This window comes from Homo sapiens, chromosome 9 (assembly GCF_000001405.40).
Source record: "Homo sapiens chromosome 9, GRCh38.p14 Primary Assembly".
Taxonomy (NCBI): Eukaryota; Metazoa; Chordata; class Mammalia; order Primates; family Hominidae; genus Homo; species Homo sapiens.
In genome coordinates, this window is record NC_000009.12 from 77434593 (window position 1) to 77445710 (window position 11118).

Consider the following 11118-nt stretch of genomic DNA (forward strand, 5'->3'; position numbering starts at 1 on the left):
AGTCTTGCCCTGGTCTGTGGATTTGGAGAGCTCTCACTAGGCATGGGGCGTGGTGGGCACCCTCCCAGGGGCCGCTCACAGCCAAGACACCCACTGCAGCCATGCTGAGTGGAGATGAGGTGGCTGCTTAGCTCCGTGGAGAGAGCCACCAGCAGCCCAAGACCTGCAGCTTCTGTGCCCAGCCATGTCCTGGGCCAGTTTCGCCAGCATTCAACAACACCCAGTGGTGAATAAAGAGTCACTGGAGCTTTCATCCTACCAGCAAACTTTACTTCTTCATTAACATATGACTCATTTGAGTATCTGCATAGCCAATGAGGCCATTTAAAAATGGCACACCAAGGTTTGGGTGGTAGAAACTGGTCCACCTGGTACAGGCAATAAGGAGGCGCCTTGTCTTTAGAGAAGTGAAACACAATAACAACTTATCATCAGTCTGGGATTTTGTTCTTTCATTTAAAAAAAAAAAAAAAAAAAAAACACTGGCCAGCTGCGGTGGTTCATGCCTGTAATCCCAGCACTTTGGGAGGCCGAGGCGGGCCGATCACAAGGTCAAAAGTTCAAGACCAGCCTGGCCAACATGGTGAAACCCCATCTCTACTAAAAACACAAAAATTAGCTGGGCATGGCGGCGCGTGCCTGTAATCCCAGCTACTCAGGAGGCTGAGGCAGGAGAATCGCTTGAACCCAGAAGGTGGAGGTTGCAGTGAGCCGAGATGGTGCCAAGGCACTCCAGCCTGGGTGACAGAGCGAGACTCTGTCTCCAAAAAAAAAAATATATTAATAATAATTGACTTTACTTTTTAGAGCAGTTTTAGCTTGCCAGCAAAATTGTAGGGCAAGTACAGCGCATTCTCACACAGTCTGCTTTTCATTTTCTTGCATCACTGATACAACTCTTTCCCACTGGGAGCCTCCCTCCCAATGCACTACTCTCCCCACACCACTGATTATTATATTACCATATTTATTATTACTATGATTATTAAATAATTATTGCTCTATTACTACAGTAATTAAGGCCATTATTACTGTAATTATTACTATTACAGCGGTTACCATTTATTGGCTATGTACTATGTGCCAAGGCCTCTACATACATTATCTCATTTAATCAATGGGAGGCTAGCATGAGCCAGAAATCTTTCCAAACCTCAGAAAATGGAAAAGATAAGGTTGGCCTGCAGCCACAACATTTCCCCGTGTTGGCCCCAGAGACTCAGCATCCTTTCCTTGGCTGCAAGTTGTAGCAGACAAGTGAATCCTGGCAAGAGAAGCAGGACCCCAGGCTCTTATTCCCCCTCCCATATTTCTGCATCCCACAGCAGTTACATCACCAAGCAGGGCTGGCTACAGCAGCAGCTGTGAGTCAGCAAACCATCTGCTTGGTAGCTGGGATCTCAAGTGTAGACGGTACCTCCTGAAAAGTCACTTTTATTGTGCGTTGTTCATCCTTATAATTATCCAACAGCAAGCCAGAGAAAAGGAGGATCTTACACATCCACCTGGCTCATCCTAACCAAGGACTGTGAATGAATCGATGTGACTTTTCCCCACACCTGTCAGGAAAGTGAATGTAAACTCTTCCTGGAGACTGTAGGACCTTCAGGCAGGTAGGATCTCAAACAAGGTCCAGGCAGGATGGATTACTGGAAAGTGCGCTGGCCTGGGAATCAGGACCCTGAGTTCTAAACAGTGTAGTTGGGACTTTTAAGGACCCCAACAAGTTACCTGCCTCAGTGTCCTCATTTGTAAAACGAGCCATGATTTCCAGGGGTACCTGAATTATAAAGTGTTACTTATATGTAAGTAGAATTAGCCTTTACTATTGTAGCAGATGTCTAATAAGTATTTCTTGTTTGCAAAAACAGGACACATCAGTAGCCTCTAAACCCTGACTTCTAATCCCACCACTGGCATGCTGCATGTCACGGACCCTATTCTTGGCTGGCGAGAATGATGGATGGAGAACCTGGACAGTGTTTATCCAGTGTGGTGCAGAACAGCTCTCTCCCATGTCCTCCCCTCCTCTCGCCACGCTCTTGCTTTCCCAAATAGGTCAGTTGTGCTGAGCTCTACTCTCTCAATGTAAAATGTCTGTTTTCCTCTCTGTCTTCATGGCAGGCCAGGAAATGTCATGAGGGCAGAACCAATGTCTTATTTGTTCTTATATCCCAGAACCTAGTGCAGTGCCTTCTATTGCAAATAATAGGTGTCTTCTATGGATAGGCGCATTCAGTAAACATCTGTGGTGCATGTAAAATCCACCTACCTAACAAGACAGAAAATTATGACAAAATAAGAGTGAAAGCATACTAGGGTGGGAAGACGGAAGCCCGTGCAGGTCACAGTGGGAGCACACACGGAGCAGGTCAGGGCCTCCTCTCAGAGGAGGAGATGCTCAGGCAACGCTTGGCCAATCTGTAATTCCAACTTGGGCCCTGGTGGCCCTCAGCATCCTTGCTTCTTGTGGGCATGCCTCTTTTGCTGCTATGCTAAGTTTCACTGTCAAAATCAGGTTAACGGCTGAGCTTTAGTGCTGCGACAATCATCAGGGCTGTAACAAATGCATTTCTATCTCTCCTTCTCACAAACAAAATGTAGGAATGAACTTCAGGGTGAATGAAATGTGAGCGGAAATCACTTGTCTCTTTTGAAAATAAACATTACGGCCAAGTGCAGTGGCTCACGCCTGTAATCCCAGCACTTTGGGAGGCCGAGGGAGGCGGATCAACTGAGGCCAGGAGTTTAAGACCAGCATGTCCAACATGGTGAAACCCTGTCTCTACCAAAAACATTAAAAATTAGCTGGGTTTGGTGGTGCATGCCTGTCATCCCAGCTACTCGGGAGGCTGAGGCAGGAGTATTGCTTGAACCCAGGAGGCAGAGGTTGCAGTGAGACACAGCTACTGCACACCAGCATGGGCAACAGAATGAGACCCTGTATAAGAAAGAGAAAGAGAGAGAGAAAGAGAGAGAGAGAGAGAGGAAGGGAAGGGAAGGGAAGCAAAGCAAAGGAAAGGAAGGGAAAAAGAAAGAAAGAAAAAAGGAAGGAAGGAAAGAAAGAAAGAAACTTATAAAGAGTCAGTGAGTAATGCACCACACTCATTTTCATCTGCTGTGGTGATTTTGGAAGCATGAGACAAGATGGCGCCTCCATCACCCAGAGCTCCTAAGTGACTACAATGAACACAGATATGCCCTCACTTGCCATGCTGGATATGTGGCACGAGTGAGCAATCAACTCAAAAGTTATCATCCACAAAGTTAAGTAAGCTGAACTTCAGGGGCAGTTGTTAGTGCGGCATGACCTACTGCACAGATCCTGACTGATACACGTTGCCATGGATAAACCCAGCCTTTGGCTCTTTTAGTAGAGAGAAAAAGTGGAACCTAGTGAGATATCAAAGAGGAAAGCAAGCTTCTACATGAAAAATGGGGAGTAGATATAGATATGACCTCTCAGGTCACCGGGAGACCTCACCAGGAGAGGAAGACATATTGTCTGTTTAGCCGGGTGAGGGGAATTTGGAGAATCTGGCTTGAAAGAAGCAGAGAGCTCAGCCTCTTTGGAAACCCAACAGTAGAACTTGAATTCGGAGCAGACTGCACCTGAGAGGACCAGAAGTACTTCAAGTTCGGAGGTCACTACCTGGTTAGTTTTCCTACCTGTTAAGATTTTTTTTTTTTTAAAGACATAGTTTCACTCTGTCTCCCACGCTGGAGCACAACGGCGCGATCTCAGCTCAATGCAATCTCCGCCCCACCGGGTTCAAGCAATTCTCCTGCCTCAGCCTCCCGAGTAGCTGGGATTACAGGCACCCGCCACCACCCCTGGCTAATTTTTGTGTTTTTAGTACAGACGGGGTTTCAACATGTTGGACAGGCTGATCTTGAACTCCTGACTTCAAGTGATCCACCCACCTCAGCCTCCCAAAGTGCTGGGATTACAGGCATAAGCCACCACGCCTAGCCGATTTTTTTTTTTAAAAAAAACCTTTTACTGTGAAATAATATAAGACTTGCAAAGATGTGGGGAAAATGGTACAAAGACTTCTTCTATGCCTTTCAAGATTGGTCAAATGTGAACAATTAACTACTTTGATTTATCATTCATCCTTTCTCCCTCCATGTGTGTGCAAACACACACACACTTCAAACCCATGTGGGCCAACACACACAGTTACATTTTTCTTGAAATGTTTGAGTAAGTTGCAGGCACGATGCCACCTTATCTCTAGAGACTTAGTGTGACTTCCTAAAAACAAGGACATCATCGTGCATAATCACAGTATAATGATCAGCATCAGGAAATAGGCGTGGACACAACATTATTATTCATTATTAAAAATTACTCATCTTCAGGCCTCATCCAAAGTTTGCCAGTTGTTCCAGGAATGTCCTTTATCTGGTCTGGAGCCCAATGTAGGATCACCTGTTGCATATAGTGATTATATTCCTTTAGTCTCCATTTATCTGGAAAAGTTCTTGGTCAGAGAAGTCATTTTTGTCCCTCTGAATGAGAATGGCCCAGCAAGGGTCTGTTCTTTAGTCAAGACATTATGAGGATGGCTGGTGGAGAGAGTGGCAGCTGAGGCCCCAGAGAACGTTCCAGGGACAAGTATTAGGAAGGACAGGGAGGAATGAGGAAGGGAGTACCCTGTTACCTTTATTTAAATACAGTTTTTAATTGGACTATGGAATATGAAATGAATGACTTTCTGTAGATCCTTAACAATGTCTGTGTATTACAAGAGTGGAGTTGGCTGGGTGCAGTGGCTCACGCCTGTTTTCCCACCACTTTGGGAGGCCAAGGTGGGAGGATCGCTTGAGCCTAGGAATTCAAGTCCAGCTGGGCAACATGGTGAGACCCCATCTCTACAAAAAATACAAAAATTATCTGGGCATGGTAGTTGTGCCTGTAGTTCCAGCTACTCAGGAGGCTGAGGTGGGAGGATTGCTTGAGCCTGGGAGGTCAAGGCTGCAGCGAGCCAAGATCGTGCCACCGCACTTCGGCCTGAGTGAAAGAGTGAGATACTGTTTCAAAAATAATAATAATGATGATGACCCAAAAGAGTGGAGTTTTGTGCATAGTTCTCTCTGGTTTGGCAAGCAGCTCATCCACAGGTGTCTGGGTACTTTGATGGGCCTGTTCAAACAACCTCTATGGCACCTGCACTCTGAGCACAAGGGACCCTCATGCGCTGTGGGGAAAGCATTTAAGGCTTGCTTCATCTCAGGGAAAGAGAGGACAAAGAGTCGGAAGAGGACAAGGGTTAGGGGAGATGTGACTTGGGTGGGGCATGTGCTGAGTCTGAGGTGGCCAGCATCTAAGTGGAGATGTCTAAAAGGCAGATGGATAAAATGGGTCTGTCTGTGGTTCACGGAGAGTCCTAGGCTAGAGAAACATCATGAGTTGAAATTGCCTAACACATTCATTTAATTGAAAAAAATATCACTCTCAAAGGAGTAAATATTATAGGAGCAAACTCAGTGATACAGAAACATGACCAGGCTCTCAAAAGTGAGCTCATATCTGGCTTTCTCTTTTTCCTTTCTCAAACAAAATCACCATATTCACTGCTCTGACAGGGAAACCTGGAAAACAGATGTCCTCCATGTGTGTTTCATTCAGAAATTCCCAGGCTAACAGTAAAAGGAGCTGCTGATGAAGTGGCGCCCTGCCGGTTTCACGCAGGGATCCGTGGCTGCCGGTGACAGTCCCTGCCGAGTGTGGTGAGGCCCTCTGGCTGGGACCCAGAGCCCAGCGGGCAGCCCCGTCTCCACCAGATCCTCCCCACGGGGGTGCTTCCTGCCCTATGAATGCCCCAGGACAGCAGGGCTCCGAGCTCTCTGTTCAAGACTGACTTTCCCAATTAAGCTAGAGTCCTTGTTCCTTTGTCAGATCATTAAGCATTTTGGTTAAATTTTATATTTTTAATTTCTATTTACTTATATTTTAATTGACAAAATTGTATATATTTATGGCTTACAATTTGGTGTTTTGATATATGTATACATTGTAGAGTGGCTAAATCAAGCTGTTTAACATTTGTATTACCTCACATGCTTATTGTTTTGTAGTGAGAACACTTAAAATCTACTCCCTTAGCAATTTCCTTTGTTTCTTTTTTCTTTTTTTGAGATGCAGTCTTGCTCTGTCCCCAGGCTGGAGTGCAGTGGCGCAATCTCGGTTCACTGCAACCTCCACTTCCTGGGTTCAAGCAATTCTCCTGCCTCGTCCCCCTGAGTAGCTGGGATTACAGGTGCCCACCACCATGCCCGGCTAATTTTTGTATTTTTAGTAGAGATGGGGTTTCACTATGTTGGCCAGGCTGGTCCTGAACTCCTGACCTCAAGTGATCCGCCCACCTCAGCTTCCCAAAGTGCTGGGACTACAGGCGTGAGCCACCGCGCCCAGCCTGCAATTTTCAAATATACTATATATTATTATTAACTTAGTCATCATGATATACAATAGATCTCTTGAGCAAATTGCTCCTGTCTTAATATTTTCGTTAAAATTAATATTTGCTAACGTATTGATATGGTTTGGCTCTGTGTCCCCACCCAAATGTCATCCTGAATTGTAATTCCCGTAATCCCCACATGTCAAGGGAGGGACCTGGTGGGAGGTGATTGGATGATGGGGGCGGTTTCTCCCATGCTGTTCTCGTGATAGTGAGTGAGTTCTCATGAGATGTGATGGTTTCCTAAGTGCTTGACAGTTCCCTCTTCACATGCGCACACTTTCTGCTGCTGCCTGTGAAGAAGGTGCCTGCTTCCCCTTCTGCCACGGTTGTAAGTTTCCTGAGGCCTCCTCAGCCATGTGGACCTGTGAGTCAATTAAACCTCTTTCCTTTATAAATTACCCAGTCTCCAGTATGTCTTTATAGCAATGTGAGAACGGACTAATACACTTATTATAGATAATAAAAACTTACTATTTCAAGTGTCTACTGTGATGTGCAAGCTTTGTAAAAATAAGTGAGATTAAGATAAAATATATTATTAAATATGAGAACTCTTTGTAGCATAGTATTTCCAACTTTTGTAAAAGCACCCCTCTATAAGCTTTGATATCTATAAGCTTTGTAAAAATCAGTGAGATTAAGATAAAATATATTATTAAATATGAGAACTCTTTGTAGCATAGTATTTCCAACTTCTGTAAAATCACCCCTCTTTAACAACTACAGAATTATACTGTGTTTAATGTGTCCAGAATTACACTATGTGTTCTATTAAAAATTATGAAGTAAAATTTCAATATTCCATAACCATCAGCTTTTGAAGCAAAACATGAAATCATAAAGAAAATGCTAGTTAACTATGCCAGAGAAAGGAGTTTTTCCTATAGAAAATAAACAAGGAACTTCTGCTTCAGGTAAAGGAGGATGACTAGGAAACTTGAATCAACTCTCCCACTAAGGGCAGCTAGAAATAGCAGACAAAATATTTTGCAAATATGCTTGAAAGTAGTAGAAAGCTAATGCAGGCCTGGTGCAGTGGCTCATGCCTATAATCCCAGAAGTCTGCGAAGCTAAGGCACACGGATCACTTGAGGCCAGGAGTTCGAGACCCGACTGACCAACATTGCAAAACCCCGTCTCTACTAAAAATACAAAAAATTAGATGGGCGTGTGATGCATGCCTATAATCCTAGCTACTCGGGAGGCTGAGGCAGGAGAATCACTTGAACCTGGGAGGTGGAGGTTGCAGTGAGCTGAGATCACACAATTGCACTCCAGCCTGGGCAACAGAGTGAGACTATGTCTCAAAAAAAGAAAGAAAGCTAATGCAATGATGCAATAGTTAATAACTGCTAAGCCACCATATAGGGGAAGACAGTGCCCAAGCAGATGAGCCCTGCAATGGGATGTTTTACTCCTGGGGCTTCTGTCGACTCTGGAAGGGACAGTTGATGGTTAAGCAGCTCTTTTTCCAACATCACAGGGCCAGAGTGACAAGGATTGAGGTCTAAGACTCTGCAAGAGCAAAAGGCCCTCATACACCCTTTGGCTCTGTGTTAGGATTCCATAGGGCAGCCTTGAGGGGTTTGCAACTCAGCTTGGAATCATGACAATCTCAGATATCAAGTACCTCCAGACACCTGGCAGAAGAAAAGGAAACTCCCTTTTGGAGTTTGGGAGATAACATCTTCCTCATCCTCAAATTATGTTTTCAAATATGTGTCCAGGGCACCACCCAAAATAATCAAGCATAAGAAGATGGGACAACTGCAAAGACAGATGACAAATAAAAAGATGGCAAAAGATCTGCCATGCAAACACTAACCCAGAGGAAACTGGAGTCTCTCTACTAAGACAAAAGCAGACTTCAAGGTGAAAAGCATAGCTAGAGCTAGAAGAGAGGGATATTTCAAATGACATAAAGATTTGGAAAAATATAGCAGCTCTAAAGTTTTATGTAGCTATTAACATAGGATCAAAATCTATGGAGCAAAATTTCACAGATGGAAGTGGAGAAATGGACAAATCTTCACCATATAGAGATTTGAACATACCTCTCTCACTGATAGTGTAAACAAAAAACTCAGGAAAAATATAGACAATTCAAACATTATGATCAGCAAATTTGAATTTACAGATACATTTTGATGCATTCAAAATAACTGTAGAATATATACTTTTTAAAAGCACACCTAGAATATTTATAAAAATACTTTTAAAAGCATATCTAGAATATTTAATTACTAAGACTTCACGTAAAAAAATGGATTTCCAGCTTCTTTTGATCAATTTTCATCTTCTCTAGAAACTCTAAGCTCAGCAGGGACTCACTTCCCCACCTCCTGCACCTGCAAGCTCACTGCACCCACTCTGCAGACATTTCAATATTAAACACTGGGCTAAAGCCACCTAGACTTCAATCTCCCACACACTCAGAATAGAAGGAAGCTTTTTAAACCCAATTCAAGATTCAACAGAAATCTTTATTTCTACTACAATCTTCGTCCTTCTCTTTCCCTTCCTCTTTTCTCCAACAACAAAAATAAATAACAGAATTTACTGGCCACAATAAGTGTTGGCATGAGGGGCCAAGTTCGTTACTTTATCTTTTCTTACCAGTCAAAACTTCAGTCGGGGCTGGGCACTGTAATTAATCCCAGCAATTTGGGAGGCCAAAGTGAGAGGATCACTTAAAGCCAGAAGTTCGAGACCAGCGTAGGCAAAAAAACAAGACCCACATCTCTAAAAATAAAATAATAAAAATAAATTAGCTGAGCATGGTGATGCGTGCCTGTAGCCCCAGCTACTCTGGAGGCTGTGGCGGGAGGATCATTTGAACCCAGGTGTTGGAGGCTAGAGTAAGCTATGATTGTGCTACTGCCCTCCAGCCTGAGCAACAGAGCAAGACCTTGTCTCTGAAAAAAACAAACTTCAGTGTGTTTCACTAAAAAGGCTCTTTCCAAAGGCTCCTATGATAAAATACTTAAACCCCTGTAGCTACATGAGTGTGAATAATGCAGTTGAGAGATGGTATGTGTGGCCTTGCACCGTGCTGGCTTAGCTGAACCTACTGACGTTTCCCAGAATGCCCCACCATGTTTGGTTCTGGGTTAGGGCTGGCCACAGAAGAAATGGAAAGAGACTTGCAAGGCAGAAGGACGCATCCACTTTCCGGGTCTGAAGGTCAGAGGCCTGCTTCTGCTTAAAAACAGCCCAGCTGATCTTCTGGTCAACCTCACAGGTGCCCTCAGCACATTTAACTCCTGCCTGGATCTTCTCCTTCAGCTTCTCCACATCATGGGTCAGCTTCTCCACATCCTGGGGCAGGCACATGTACAGATCTGTGGCCAAGGGTGCCAGCTTCTTCCACAAGTTACCTGCACTGTCAGGATGGTGACACCTGTGCAGGTTCCACTTCATCCCCCCAGAATCCACTTGGTTTTCGTGGGTTCTGCTTTGTCTTTGCAGGTTCCAGCCTGCCCTTGCTCTTCCCTGCTTTGCATCCCCGTTTTCTCCTTAACTGCCAGCCTGCTGACCTGTAGCAGCCTCAGGCCCCCTCAGACATGCAGCAGCAATAGCCTTCCAGTGTCTTCTTCACAGCTCCAGCAGCCAACACGGTTCAGTCCCCATCATAAGCCCATCATTCCCCAGCACTCCGTGCACCTCAGACTCCCTGACACACAAGAGCTTCCATTACAGTCCACTCAATCCTATGTACAGACAAAATCCCTGATCACCTTAGGTCCAGGGGGAGGTAGCTTAGGGTTCAGTTGGGGTGCCCTAAATGTCCCACACTCAGCTGGGCACCAGCAGGCAGACTCGTTCACCACTCAGTGCACAGCGTCCTGCCCCTGCTCCATGCCAGATCCAGGGCTGCCTGCTGGGAATAGAAATAGGCCCTAACCTTGAGGATTTCAGAATTACAGCTATCCTTTTGAGTAGGAATGACAACAGAGCCCCACACGAATGCTGAGCTCAAAGGAAGGGAAACATTTCAACTGGGGAGGAGTGAAGGGATGAGCCAACTAGTACTTCCCACTAGAGGTGGCCTGATGGCGGGGAAGGAGAAGGGGCTACATCTTCCCTTTTCGCTGCCACGAACATGGCTTCCTGCCTGTGCTTGCCAAAGATTGCTCTGTGTATGGAGCGGGGGTACGAGAAAGGGACCAGACCAGCCTTTGCTACATCGCATTTCACATAACAAGTCTTTCCCTAAGATGCTCTGGAAAGTGCCTAAACCCTCAGTAGAACACAGTCAAGTGAAATTTTCCAAACAGCATCTGGTAGCCCAACTCCCTCAACACCCTCCAAACAAGGAATGCGTGTATTCGGCCAGTGGAGCTGCTTCTCAGAGAAGGGTTTTGGGGCCCAGCAAGGTGGCTCATGCCTGTAATCCCAACATGTTAGGAGGTCAAGGCTGAAGGATCATTTGAAGCCAGAAGTCCAAGACCACCCTGGGCCGCAAAGTGAGACCTGTCTCTAAGAAGAAAAAAAAAAAAAAAAAAAAAGAAAGGAAAAGAAAAAAATATTTGCCAGGCATGGTGGTACGCGCCTGTAGTCTCAGCTACTTGGCGACTGAGGCAGAAGGATCACTTGAACCTAGGAGTCGGAGGCTGGAGTGAGCTATGATCACACCACTGCACTC

The 11118-nt window shown here is 45.1% G+C and overlaps 1 protein-coding gene across 2 annotated transcripts in view; it reads right to left on the bottom strand.

The window, feature by feature from the left end:
* The window catches only part of GNA14 (G protein subunit alpha 14), a 225244-nt gene that overhangs the window by 11514 nt on the left and 202612 nt on the right, over positions 1-11118 (bottom strand). The gene's annotated exons all lie outside the window — the stretch shown is intronic.